This window comes from Homo sapiens, chromosome 4, assembly GCF_000001405.40.
Source record: "Homo sapiens chromosome 4, GRCh38.p14 Primary Assembly".
Taxonomy (NCBI): domain Eukaryota; kingdom Metazoa; phylum Chordata; class Mammalia; order Primates; family Hominidae; genus Homo; species Homo sapiens.
Window position 1 is genome coordinate 46885475 of NC_000004.12, and position 15012 is coordinate 46900486.

The following is a 15012-nucleotide window of genomic DNA, read 5'->3' on the forward strand; positions in this document are numbered from 1 at the left end:
TGTATTTGCGCAGCACCTTACTGATTTTGTTTATGAAATGAATAAACATACCCCATTCTATTCAAGAAACATCAGCTGACCAGTGATTATAGGCAGGATATTATACCTCCATGTTTGATATCAGATGCCAGGAGAGACATAAATATGAACAAGATACAACCTTTCTCTTCAACAATTTAAAAATCTAGATTAAAAGCATCAAAACTGCGCTTGATTATTCAGAAACCAGGTGGGTTTTTTTCTCATTTATCTAAGCATTTAATTCTTTCAGTTATCTTAACATATAATTCTTCCGGTGGATGTAGAAACTGTAATATATAAGAAGGCAATGAATTTTTAGCAAAGGTTAGTTTTGAGTAACAGTCTATCATTGCTGGCCTAGTCACAGAGAAACAGTATACAAGGTTACCTAAATGAGGCTTTTCCAAAACTGAGTTTCCAGGTCAAGAGTTTATTTTTCATGTTAGAATAAATGTATTGAATCAACTATTGAAAATTTCACCATGCAGACATTTTACTGCCTACAAGCCAATGATAACGTAGATTTTCAAAAGAGAAGGGTGAAAAGTAAAGATTTGGGAAGAAAAGAAGGCTAATTAATAATATTAATCTGTACTTGCCCCAATGCCCTTGAAGGCAGGCAAAGAAACTGCCAAAGCCACTTGACTTTAGGTAGTTACAGGGATCAGGTTAAAAATGACTCATTCAGATTCTTCTGTATAAAATGCATTCTTAAAAGCACTCAAAAACAAAATGTAGAAAACTATGGAGACCATAAAAATGTATTTTAATTGATATTTCATAGTTGTATAAACTTTTGAGTACATGTGATATTTTCATACATATATACAATGTGTAATGATTAAATCAGGGTAATTAAGATATCCACCACCTCAAACATTCATCTTATCTTTGTGTGGAGAACTTTGCAATTCTTTTCTTCTACCTGATTTGAAGTATACAATAAGTTATCGTTAACTATAATTTCCCTATTGTACTATCGAATACAAGAACTTATTCCTTCTATCCAGCGTATTTTCATACTCATTAAACAACTCTTATTCTCACAAGTATAATTAATTTAGTCCTTTGTGTATATTGTGTTGAATATAAGCTCAGAAATGTAATTTGTTCAGAAGAATTTGATATAAATCTTAAAGTTTGACCTAAGAAAAGCAACTAGTTTCTTTAAAATATCCCTGATTAAAAAATAAAAATGTCAGAATATATGTTAGAACAAAAACAAAGGGAAAGATAAAAGTAACTAAACATGAATTTTTTTCTCAAACAGAAGTAAGCAGAATCTCAGAATCTATTTTCAGCCTTTCAGATAATAAATTGGTGAAACCATTAGTTCAATATGCAAAAATGCCTTTTCACAGATTTAAGGAACACTTGATAAAGGAAAGAGAAAACCCTTATGTGTACATGAAGGAGTCCACCTACTGGACAGACTGTTAATTGGTGTGGAAAAAAAATCGCAGACATATTTTAAACTCGACACAGGAAGCTTCTCAGCAAAGTGAAATATAAAGGCCTTTTAAAAACAATTTGTATTACAATTCTAACTATTATGTGTGCCTCACATTAAGGAAGGCTTAATAAAAATCAAATAGGAAGAAAGGAAAAAAAGAAAGAAGAGAGGGAACGAATCCCATTTCTCCTTCCTAATCTTCCCATCTGTTTTCTGAGAAGCATTTTAAGGAATACATTTTCATGTACATTTTCCATTGAAAGATACTAGTATCCCACCCTAAAGGGTATGGGCAAAAAAGCAAACACATTCTTTTAAGAAGCAGAACTTTATTTTGTCCTAGCTGGTTTGACAACTGTGAGAAAACAGAAAAATATTACCACATGACCTTCATCTGAATGCATCCTACTACCCAGGGCTCAGTCCTGGAGGATTCATCTAAGATCATGTACATAAAACTACTTTAAAAAGTAAATATCCTGGCCGGGCACAGTGGCTCACACCTGTAATCCCAGCACTTTGGGAGGCCAAGGCAGGTTGATCACGAGGTCAGGAGATCGAGACCATCCTGGCTAACACGGTGAAGCCCCATCTCTACCACAAATACAAAAAATTAGCCGGGCGTGGTGGCAGGCGCCTGTAGTCCCAGCTACTCGGGAGGCTGAGGCAGAAGAATGGCATGAACCCGGAAGGCGGAGCTTGCAGTGAGCTGAGATTGTGCAACTGCACTCCAGCCTGGGTGACAGAGCAAGACTCCTTCTCAAAAAAAAAAAAAAAAAAAAAAGGAAGTATCCTATACAGAGACAAGACAATCAAGTCATATTTGGCAATGCATCCCAACTAGGCAAGCAGTCACTACCTGACTATTCCCCCAAACTCCCTCATTCTGCTCTGCACCCTGCAAGCAGCCTCTAAAATGAAAAAAAGGTTGGGAGTTGGCCATGGATTCTGTTGTCGTCTCCTAGACATGGTTCACTCCTATTTGGAGCCATTAATCAAGCCAGAACCAGTAGGCTGCCAACCCCTACTGAAGGTATAGATACCCAAATGAAAGACCTGCTTGCTGTGCTGACACCACTCTTAATGACTCAAACATCTGGAAAACAACATTTCACAGTGATGATCACAACTTCACTGATAAGCAATAACTCGCATGGTGTGTACTGTGCATTAGGAGCTCAACAGGAGAAGCAAAGCGGTGTCGCTTTCAAGGTGCCACAAGAACTCAGTGCTCTCCTTTGAGAGAAAGGCTTTTGCATCTCACAGTGGTGCCTTCAGGTAATAGATGGTGCATTCAACCGAGACTTCAGTCCTTTACGATTATGGGAAATAAGCCACATTTAAATCTTGGCCCATCCAGTTTCCTATTTCTAGCTTGTTCATGCCCATTTAAGAATTTAATTTTTTTAAATATTAGATTTGTTTTATAATCACAAAAGTAATACATACAATTTAAGTAACGGTGCTGGACAGGGGCAGATTATGTTTCTTCCTTTTTTTTTTTCTTTTTTTTGAGACGGAGTCTTGATCTGTTGCCCAGGCTGGAGTGCAGTGGCGCGATCTAGGCTCACTGCAAGCTCCACCTCCCAGGTTCACGCCATTCTCCTGCCTCAGCCTCCTGAGTAGCTGGGACTACAGGCGCCCACCACCATGCCTGGCTAATTTTTTTGTATTTTTTTACTAGAGATGGGGTTTCACCATGTTAGTCAGGATGGTCTCGATCTCCTGACCTCGTGATCCTCCCGCCTCGGCCTCCCAAGGTGCTGGGATTACAGGCATGAGCCACCGCGCCCAGCCTATGTTTCTTAAACATTTTATATTGTATTGATATTACTTCCCTACTGTGTTTTTATAATAATTACTACAATCCCAATTCTGTATCTTCCTGTAATCCCTCATTCTGTATGCCACCAACACCACAAAACACGCACCAACAGATATCTTTAAGTGAGCAGTTACTTATCTGTACCTTCCAGTGTTGCTGCAATGATTATGTATTAGTTGTACATTTTAAAGTAACTAAGAGTGTAACTGGATTGTTTGTAACACAAAAGTTAAATGCTTGAGGGGATGGATACCCCATTTTCCATGATGTGAGTATTATGCATTGCATGCCTGTATCAAAACATCTCATGTACCCCATAAATATATACACCTATTATGTGTCCGCAAATTTAAATTTTAAAAATATAATGATAAATTTAAAAAAATCTAAGGAGAAAAATCCATTTGATAGAACTAGTTAAACCACCTTTATAGATGGTTCTCATATTTCCTCCTCCCATTATGCTTATTATCTACATTTTCTCTGGCTAGGACTTCTAACAACTGGCCTGGATTTCAAACTGTAGTCCTACAATAAGCCTGTCACCTATTCCCTGGATGTAGGAACTGTCACAAAGTAGTCTTAACATTCAACTCTTCTCCATGTCAACCAGACCTAACACCACAATACTACATTCTTCTTCAAGTCAGGGATGCTCTCACACATTTTAACTCAAGCTTTCATTGATTAATTCTGTTTTCCGATGCTTCTCTGGCTTGTCTAAGCAGAAATAATTGACAAACGGGGAAGCAAGATAGGCAAGGCTGCCATGAGCACTGTATGTCAAATATTAGCCACAGAGAGGTGAGAAAGGTATGAAAAGAGGACAAGTACACATTCAATCAATGGGTAATGGCAATGTGGACAGAACAAAGTCTATAATTTTCAAACAAAAGGAATGCCTCTTGAGGAGTAGCTGATAATGAGGGCAAAAAGTCAAATTCTCTCAGCTTTTTAATTAAGTTTACTTAGTACAGGAACAAAGGTGCTCAGTAAATATTCTTGGTTCACTACAATGACAGACACACACACACACTCTGAAACTGATATGAAATTCATCTAAATGTTAATAATAGTTGTTTCCAAGGAGTTGAATTTTTGAGTACTTTTCTGCATTTCAGTATGGTTTTTTTTTTTTTTCCTAATGTTTCCTAATGAATCTAGTCTGGGTTACTTTTATTATGAGGGAAAAAAAATGACTTATCCAAAAAAGAAATATATGCCAGCATCCTGAATGGTAAGAAACTCATCTGAGCATTGACACCTCTAACCTACGTGGCCAACTGAGCTCAGGTCCAGAAATAATGGATCTAATAATAATGAAGAAAGCAGACAGCAGGCTTAAGCTCCCACTGAGCAGAATCTGGAATGAGTCCTAAAGCTTTATGTTACTCTAGTGTCTTTAAAGAGAAAAGTAAGTCTAGGCCTTCCTTAGTACATGCTATGTTTGCATAATCACAAGGATTTGGCTTCCGTTCTAGTAGAGATTAGCTGCTAAAAGCTAGATCTGGCAACTAGCTGCGAACTATAACAGATTTGACTGTGGCCATATTCTTTTTGCCTATGCCAATAGAAAGGGCATTGTTGTAAAGCAGATGGAACCCCTAGAACACAATTGATGCTTTATTAATTCATTACCTAAATATTTACTGAGGGACTACTCAGTTCCTATGCCAAAACATTTTATACTCTGGGTATTCAAAAGAGGACAAATGAAACATTTAGACAATGTCTCTTCTCTCACAGATCTTACATTTTATCAGGATGTAGGCAACAAAAATATTAAGAAAAATTGAGAAAGGATGCTACTTTCAGCAAGATATTTAGTGAAGTCTTATCTGACAAGCTGACACTTAAACACAGAATTAAAGAAGTGAAAGGACAAACCATATGAACATTTGGATAAAGAGCATTCTGGACAGAGGGACTAGAAAGTGCAAAAACTCTGAAGGAGTGTTCTTAAAGTATTGAGTAACAATGCTTGGAGAACAGTGAGGAAAGATACAGTAGTCTGGGGACAGCTAATGGAGTGCTTTGGGAAATAGTAAGGATTTTGGATTTTATTCAGTATAATAAGTCACTAGAGAATTTTGCACAGAGGATAATAGCATAGTTACATTTTAAATGGATCTTTCTGGTCATGTGTAAAACATAACTAAATGGAGGCAAGACGAAATGCAAGGGGTTGAAGGATAAAGTAAGAATCTAGGCTAGAGATGATGCTGTCTTGATGAAAGTGGTGACAGTGGAAATGAAGAGGAATGGTTACATTCAGAGTAAACTTCAAAAGTTGTTGAACCAACAGTTTTGCCGATGTGGGATGTGAACCAAAGAGTGACAACAGAGATTATCCCAAAATTTCTCACCTAAGTAACTAGACGTTACTGTTTACTTGAAAGAGAACATCATGGTAGAAACAGATTTGGCAGATCAAGAAATCAAGTTTGGATATATCATATTTAAGTAGACATTTGAATATGAGTCTGATGTCCAAGGGAAAGATTCAAGGAATAAATAGAACCTGGGGAATCTTCCATATACAGATGGTAATTAAAACATAATGTAGGAAGTGAACACATTTAAACAAGAGAAAGGGTCCAGGGACAGAGCCTCGGGACTTCAACATTTAGAGGTCATAATGAAGAAGATGATCTAGCAGAAAATATTGACAGGGAGCAGCAATGAGGCAAGGAGGGAAAGTAGTAAGAGAACGATGTCCCAAAAGTCAACTGAAAAAACTATCTAAGAGAATGAACTTTGAATAATACTTCTTAAAGTTTCCATGTCTTGTTTCTGATCTCAGAGCCCTGGTGGAAACACACTACCTTAGATAAAAATGAAGTTTCCACATCCCTTTGAAATACATGTAGTAGACCAGTGAATTCAGTGTCATCCCATTATTGGTAAGTTTGTTTAGCCCTTCATCCACTCTAGCTTCTTGCCCTTCTCTTCAAACCTGTGTCACTAGGCAATAACGGAAGATTCAGGAAAAGCTGAAGAGACCACAGATGTTTCAGGGCAATACATCCTGCAAGCCAAGCTTGGTTGTGAGCATTGTAAAACAAAATTAAATTGCAGGCACACTATTCTGACACAATGAAGAGAAAATGAGCCTCAGATCTAAGTAGGTTTCTTTTGGTCCAGCTCTGCGAAACACATATCTTATGTATTCATTTATTTCCTTACCTTTTCACTCTATTCTGGTAAATTTACTTTTAGCTACTGTTGGGCATCCTTCAGGAGAGACCATCCTAAGGACTCTACTGGAGTACAACCCACAGGTTCCACAGAATGAATTGATCAACATACCAATGTCAAAGAAAAGATGATCACCTTTCTTCCCAGAGGAGTCATGGATTCCCTCTTGCTAGCTACAATAGGCTGTGAGTCTTCATGACTGTGATATTAACTACCGGGGCCACTGGTACCACTGTTATAGATTATGGTATAGACTAAAAAGAAAAGAAAAGCAATATTACACTAATTGTTTATTCAACTTTATTGATTTTTAAAAGGTTAGTGGAGTAAGTACATCAGACATGTCACATGAGTTATTATATGTAGACAGTATAGACAGACATGTTTTGAATCACTGTCATGTATCTTTACTTCTATTATCCATGAGGAAATTCATGACACATTTTACATGAGGTGTGTACTGGCTTGGCCATGATACAGAAACTGAAACATGTAGTGACATGTATTCTTTGCATATGAGTTACTTTAATGACTTCCCCATCAGCTTATATGGAAGATAGAGCCTTGCACCTTGGGGTACTTGACAAGGTGATTTATGCAATAACACTTGACTCTTTCACCCAAAACCTTGAGCTTCATCCCCACATAAACTTCCATAATCAGAAAAAAATGACTCCTTATCAACAGAGAAAATCAAAGTAGCCTCAACATCTTCAGAAAATAAGGAGTGAAATAGGTCATTTTATGTCCAGACCACTAGCTGTTTTGACTTTCGTTGTTGTGGAAGTAATTATTTTCATGGACCGATACGGTTTCGCTGTGTCCCCACCCAAATCTCATCTTGAGTTGTAGTTCCCATAAGTGTCGCAAGAGGGACCCAGTGGGACATAACTGAATAATGGGGGGATTTCCCCCATGCTATTCTCATGATAGTAAGTTCTCAGGATATCTGATGGTTTTAAAAGGGGCTTCCCCCTTTGCATGGCTTTCATTCTTCCCTCTCCTGCTGCCCTGTGAAGAGGTGCCTTCTGCCATGATTGTAAGTTTCCTGAGACCTCCCCAGCCATAAGGAACTGTGAGTCAATTAAACCTCTTTCCTTTATAAATTACCCAGTCTCAGGTATTTCTTTGTAGTAGCATGAGAACAGACTAACACATGGATAAGTAGAGTTAAGGAATGCCTAGTTAAACCATTAAACAGGTTTCTTAGGTGTAGGACTTCTTAGAGCCTTAATGATGGTGAGGGCATTGTGAATGTCTGAGAGGAATATGTAATATTATATGTCTTTCCAACTTACTTGGCTATAAAAATTTGTTCCTTTATAGCATTTTACACAAGTGGTCTGCTTTATACCAGCCAGTTGAAATTCCCTCCACGGATAAGTTATACCCTTTGTACATACTTCGCTGTTGAACTGTTCACATTGCATTATAAAATATCCATTTGCACTAGCCTGTGAGTTCTCTAAGGGCAGAAATGCCTCCTTCATTTGTTTATTCTCTAGACTCGGCACAATGGCAGAAAGAAAACACTGAATAAATGTTTAAGAAATACATTCAGGCCTGAATGAGTTCTGTGGCAATAGCTGTGGCAGCTATTGCATCAATGAGGGAATACAAGGAAATTTCAAAATGCTAGAGGCTTATTCATGGACAAGAAGCAATCTAAGTGAGAATCCATGGATAAAGTCAAAAAATGTGGCATTTCCAAAAACATGCAGCAAAGTAGAAGAAACTTCTCCAGTCTAACAAAAAGCACCAATCTTTCTTCTTTAAAAAAGTCAAAATATCTTTCTCTTCTCTCTACAGACAATGATATAAAATGTTGTCACATAAAATAATCAAAGAGTATATAGTTTTAAAAAATGTGAGAAAAAGAATTATCTTATATACCAACAACAGCCAAGCCAAGAGCCAAATCAGGAAGTCAATCCCATTCAGAACTGACACAAAAAGAATAAAATACCTAGGAATACAACTAACCAGGAAGGTGAATGATCTCTACAATGAGAATTCTAAAAACACTGCTCAAAGAAATCAGTGAAGACAAACAAATGGAAAAGCATCTCATACTCATGAATATGAAGAACCCATATCATTACAATGACCATACGGCCCAAAGAAATGTACAGAGTCAATGCTATTCCCATCAAACTACCAACAATGTTCTTCACAGAACTAGAAAAAACCATTTAAAAATTTATATGGAACCAAAAGACGGCCTGAATAGCCAAAGTAATCCTACGTGAAAGGAACAAAGCTGAAAATATTCATGTTACCCGACTTCAATACCCATATTACAGGGCTACAGTAATCAAAACAGCATGGTACCAGAACAGAATAGACAGCCCAGAAATAAGGCTGCCCACCTACAATCATTTGATCTTTAACAAACCTGACAAAAGCAAACAATGAGGAAAAGACCCCCTATTCAATAAACGGTGCTGGAATAACAGGTTACCTATATGCAGAAGATTGAAGCTGGACCCCTTCCTTGTATCATATACAAAAATCAACTCAAGATGAATTAAAGATTAAATGTAAACCCAAAACTCTAAAAGCTCTGGAAGACAACCTAGGCAATACCATCCTGGACTTAGGAATGGGCAAAGATTTCATGAAAAAGATACCAAAAACTATTGCAACCAAAGCAAAAATTGACAAGTGGGATCTAACTAAACTTAAGAGCTTCTGCCCAGCAAAAGAAACCATCAACAAAGTACACAGACAACCTACAGAATGGGAGAAAATATTTGCAAACTACGCATCTGACAAAGGTCTAATACCCAGCATCTATAAGGAACTTAAACAAATGTACAAGCAAAAAACAACCCCATTAAAAAGTGGGTAAAAGACATAATCACTTTTCAAAAGAAGACATACATGCATCCAAGAAGTATGTGAAAGAAAGGTGCATATCAGTGATCATTAGAGAAATGCAAATCAAAACTACAATAAGATAGCATCTCACACCAGTCGGAATGGCTATTTTTTTAAAGTTGAAAAATAACAGATGCTGGTGAGGTTATTGAGCAATTGTTGGAGCTGTGCCAAGCAACCGTTGGTGGTGGTGTAAATTAGTTCAACCATTGTGGAAAGCAGCGTTGCGATTCCTCAAAGAGCTAAAAACAGAACTAACATTTGACCCAGCACTCCCGTTATTGGGTATATACCCAAAGGTTTATAAATCATTCTATTATAAAGACACATGTACACCAATGTTCACTGCAACACTATTTGCAATAGCAAAAACATAGAACTAACCTGAACGCCCATCAATAACAGATTGAATAAAGAAAATGTGGTACATATACACCACAGAATACTACGGAGCCATAAAAAAAGAATGAGACCCTGTCTTTTGTGGGAACATGTTTGGGGCTGGAGGCTATTATCCTTAGCAAGCTAAAGCAGGAACAGAAAACCAAATACCACATGTTCTCACTCATAAGTGGGAGCTAAATGATGAGAACTCATGGGCACAAAGAGGAGAACAACAGACACTGGGACCTACTTGAGGGTGGAGAGTAAGAGGAAGAAGAAGAACAGAAAAAAAATAACTATTGGGTACTAGGCTTAGTACCCGAGTGACAAAATAATCTGTACAACAAATCCGCATGACGCTAGTTTACCTATATAATAAACCTGCACATATACCCCTAAACCTAAAATAAAAGTTTTTTTAAGTATTAGGAAGTTAATTAGAAATTATTTGTTTTTCTGGAGTTTGTTATTTTCATGTGTAATTACACATAATCACTTTCTTAATTTATACACATTGTTTTGTATTTTTAAGGCCCCCCCCAAATTGTATAATCTTCCATTTGCACCAAATCCTGATCTCCCTAAGGGAGAAATTCAGCAAAATAACTTCGCTAGAAAATAATTACAATTAGACTTGAAGCCAGGACTGGTTGGTCTCAAAGAGTTCTTTCTATTGCACTTTCACCACCTTTATTATCAGTTAAACCTCAGTGTGAATACATTTCATCTCTTCTTGAGAATAAGTAAATTTGGAGGGGAGAGGAAAACCAAGGAAGCTTCTGGAGAAGTTATTATTAAACACACAAAACACAGGCTACAAGTATCCGAACATAAGCTATTCCTACTTTACAATTTTGCCTAGACTTGTGTCACTGGCCTCTTGTTATATAGCTGACTAAAAATAATTACTTACTGCGTATACCTGAGTATAAACTCATATTTTATTCTTACCTTTGCATATCTATAAATTTGACTATGGTTTCACAACTGGCATGCCCATGAGACTGTCTAATGGGGAAAAAGAAAATTCTGCAATGCACCTTTTGTTTATGGAAATCTCTATCTCAGTAGTACCAACCTACTTTTATTTCTAGATGCTTTTTATCACTGTAGCAGTTATGCTATTGGTAGATGTACCCAGTGACAATTTTAGGACTTACATACCCAATAAATGCAATAAATAATTAAAGCCAGCATTAAATATGCTAATAAGTCTACATGTTTCCTAAAACAATTACACCAGCATTGTAAAACTGTTAAAATAGGAATATAGGCAAGCCAATCACACTCAAGATTTGATCATTTTTTAAAAGACTCACAGTTGCTCAGCCATTAAAGCTAGTGGAAAAACCTTCCTCTGGGGACTATTTTCCTGGTTCATTTTATACCATGCTAGAATTAACAAAAAAGAAAAAAAAAAGGACTAGAAGAACAAGAATCCTTAATAGAAGTAAACCACAACACACCTCATACACAGTTTTGGACAATGAATATTGTATTTTTTGCCAATAGCAAGCAACAGGCACCCTCTGCTTTTGTTAATGCAGTTCAGCTGATATGACAGACAAAACTGAAAGAGAAGGAGAATGTGCTTTATCATCTGTAGCTGAATTTCAATTTTCTCTTTCAAGTACAGTTGAATGCATTTTCTTTGCAACCCAAAGACAGAAGATCTTGATTACTGTTGCAAGAATAATCTCAGCCTTTGTGTGAAGAAGATAGGGAAAATAAATAGTCTCTCTGGAAGATGTGTCAGCTTTTGAACTTACAAAACAAGATATATTCTTGGAGGTAGGGAAATTAAATTAAGGTGAAATAGTATACCCATTAAAATGACAATTGAAGGCTTGTTTTGTAGACTATGGCTGGCTTCCCAAATGTCCTATGTTAGCCTCACCCCAGGGGCACAGACAACAGAACCAGGAACAAACAGGGTCAAGACAGGTGCAACTGTCTGGGAATACAGGTCACTCAGGCCACAGGCTCTGTCATGAACTGCCAGCTCTTGTAAAATAAAGGTTCCAACTCCTTTCTCCCCACCACCAATGTTTCAGGTCTTAAGAAAGAAAATGAATCGATATCTCTCCAGATTTCTTCTCATCTATATCCACATCAAAAAAATCAATCCAACACCAGCTCAGCTGGATTCTTTCTCTCTGTCTCAGGAGAATGCTAAGTGTGTCCCCTCTTGAGTATTAAGAAAAGTTGTGTCTCTCTGAGTCACCTTTCCTTTACTTCCATTCAACGGACAGCATTTTAATTGTGGCTAATAAAGAGTACTTCATTGTCCCCAATATGATCAGAAAACACAAAATTAGTAACTAGTCTGTTATTGTTCTCTCTCAAGTATTCTGTCTCATGCACCCCTTGGTAATCCCTACGGCTGTCAACTCAGCACTGCTGTCCTATCCCCTTCCATACTTCTATCCCTCCTTCCTCTCCACTGCTCAAATTAAATAGCCCATTCCCAATTCATCAGACAAATCAGTCTGCAATAACAGATGACAGTGGCTTAAAGTGTAAATTTACATGGACACAAGAGATCAGGTCCCCCACTAAACACCTCACCCCTACCCTGGGTAATATTTTAAACCAGAAAGTTAATGAGAATTTATCAGACTTCATTTTCTCTTACCTCACATTAAATCTGGTATTGTTAACCACATTAACTTGACATTATAATTTCCTCAGCTTCCCTAACTATGCTGGCTATGTTCTCTGACCTCCACCTCTCCATTTCTCCTTCTAACTCTCTATGGGCTGCCTCTAAGCCTAATTTTTGGCCTTATAGCACAAAGGGCTTACTCATTCTCATGACTGCTGTCACCTTTAGGTTGGAGAAGTCTGAACCTGTATCTCCTCCCTAGAATCCCAGTACTACATATTCAATGTCTAAAGGGATTTTTCTCCTGGATATAGTCATTGGCCATATCTAAATATGCATAAAGATTAACTTGCCACCTTCCCTTCCAAATTTACATTATTTTCTCCAAATCCTCAAGCTATCTCGGAATTAATTCTTTTATTCCATTCATAACTTAGGTCTACAAGAACTTTGGACTCCTCTTCTGAATTCTCTTCTCCAAAAGCCAAATCTATATTAGATGCTCTTATCATTTACTCTTAAATTATTCCAGTATTTCCCTAATTGGCCATCCTGATTCAAATGTCTCTCCATCTCATCATTCATTATTTTTTTTGAGACAGGGTCTTGCTCTGTCACCCAGTCTGGAGTGCAGTGGTGTGATCATGGCTCACCGCAACCTCATTCTCTTGGGCTCAAGCAATCCTTCCCCCTCAGCCTCCCAAGAAGCTGGGACTACAAACATACACCACCATGCCTGGCTAATTTTTTATTTTTTTATTTTTTGTAGAGGCGGGGTCTTGCTGTGTTAACCAGGCTGTTCTCAAACTCCTGGGCCCAAGAGATCCACTGGCCTCACCCTCCCAAAATGCTGGGATTACAAGCGTGAGCCACCGTGCCCAGTCCACTCAATTTACCATTGATAAATATTCATAAAATACTGTTTCCTATTATTTCACTTCCCTATTTAAAAACATTGCCTGTAGCATCTGATTTGCACTCTTTGGTCTAGCCCTATATCCTTTTGCATATATCTTTCTGCTCCCTGATCATAAAATTAGATTATCAAATTCACTGATAGAATTAATCAATGAACACAGTGTACCATAAACCTACTATAGTGTAACCTCATGAAGGAAGGGACTGTTCATCACCTCTTATTTGTTCATTGCTGTATTTTACTATGGTGGAGAAAAAAATTAACAAATTATGTTCAAGAAATGATCTTAGTTTTTATCAATTCCCATTGTTGATATGCTATCTTCTTTATTTACCTCTTATACAAAATAAGGCCCAACTCATTATCCTTCTCCTCTACTAAAAATTAACAATTACTCCAACCTACCTGTATTGATCCCTCTCCTTTTTCAACTACTATAGCTTTAAAATATACTATATTATACTGTATGCTAATAATTCCATCTGTAGCAATTGTGTCTTTCAAGCTAGATTTCAGTACCCATTTATTTGAAAAAGTGTCACAGTATTAGAAAATAAAAAGAATGTGAAACCTTGTAACTAGAATCTAAAAGATGAGTTAAGTAAGGCAAGCAAGAAATCATCTCCTAACTAGTGAGTTTAGCTACTAGTAAGAGAATAGATTCAGTCTCAATTCCTAGATAGGCATAAAATCCATTTTGATAAAACCCTAAGAGAAAATCTAAATGCACTTCAAGAAGACAGGCTTAACAATTGGAGGGTGCGTGTGTGTGTGTGATCTGTGCCTTTATGTATGTGGTGGGTGCTTTTTCGCCAATGAGAGAGAGATTGTAAGTCATGAGCTAAATAGTTGGCCTTTCATGAGAAAGTACAGATTCTTCTCTGTAGGTCTCCAGGCTCATGATAGACTTTATCCAACTTAAATTTCATCCACAAATTCATTTCATAAATAAAATAAATAAATGTAAAAGTATTTTCCATTTGAATGATTATTTCTGCAACAATTACACAGGCATTTTTGACATCTTAAAATAATAAGTATAGTAATTATTATAATAGCTATCATTTGTAGAGTACTTGCTATGCTCCAGGTATAGTGTTAACAGGTTTATGAAGCACAAATGACAAAAAGTCATGTACTGGATATGTGGAGAAATAAAACAACCCTAGATTTCTCAGTGTTCCTATAAAAAGCCCAAGCCTCCTTCAACATGGAAATATATTCACTATATAGTCAGAAAATCTTTAATTTCATTTCTCATAAAAACATTTTCACATACCACAAGGATTAAATCTGTAGCAATTTGTTTCCCTAATGATGGAGCTAACTGTTCTGATCCAAAATTAAACTTAGCTCTCCCAAAATCAAAAGGTTACATACTGGGATAGTTTACCTAGTTACTCGGTGAAAGCATAGAGCAGAAAATTCCTAGATATTTATATTTTAAGGAAGAATAAGAGCCAGGGCTTGGAGACATCTCTAGGTCTGTGACACAAAGGGCTATGTGGCTCCTCTGGAGATTTTTATTTACATACCAAAGTGCTGGAGTTAGGAATCATGCCCATTATGTTTCCAAGGATACCCTTGCAGAAAGAGAGGTGGACAGCTGCCTCCTTGCCCTTAAATAAGCAGAGAAAATCTGTTTTTTCTTGTTCTCACATGGGTAGTTTGGCTTCTTGAGTAGAACAACTGACCTGGCTCTCACTGTCTCACCAGAAATGTAAGAA

General features: G+C 37.1%; 1 protein-coding gene across 10 annotated transcripts in view, besides 2 other annotated features; it reads right to left on the minus strand.

Annotated features, from left to right (window-relative positions):
* The window catches only part of COX7B2 (cytochrome c oxidase subunit 7B2), a 174419-nt gene that overhangs the window by 150648 nt on the left and 8759 nt on the right, over positions 1 to 15012 (minus strand). For 5 of the 10 annotated variants that reach the window (XM_011513633.3, XM_011513632.3, XM_011513635.3 and 2 more), the window contains one exon: positions 6633 to 6751. The exons of 4 other annotated variants lie outside the window; for them this stretch is intronic. The gene's annotated coding sequence lies outside the window, so the exon portion shown is untranslated. Of the gene's footprint in view, positions 1 to 6608; positions 6752 to 15012 lie in introns of all 10 variants that reach the window. One more of the 10 variants, XM_011513631.3, reaches the window with a different exon arrangement.
* Positions 1930 to 2117: a silencer, noted in NCBI's record as "fragment chr4:46889421-46889608 (GRCh37/hg19 assembly coordinates)". NCBI's record gives its function as "represses an EF-1alpha promoter that drives an FKBP-Casp9 reporter gene in an ReSE screen in K562 erythroleukemia cells {active_cell/tissue: K562}" and the evidence as "EXISTENCE:reporter gene assay evidence [ECO:0000049][PMID:32094911]".
* Positions 4018 to 4312: a silencer, noted in NCBI's record as "tiled region #10756; K562 Repressive non-DNase unmatched - State 24:Quies". NCBI's record gives its function as "represses a minimal TATA promoter and a strong SV40 promoter by Sharpr-MPRA in K562 cells {active_cell/tissue: K562}" and the evidence as "EXISTENCE:reporter gene assay evidence [ECO:0000049][PMID:27701403]".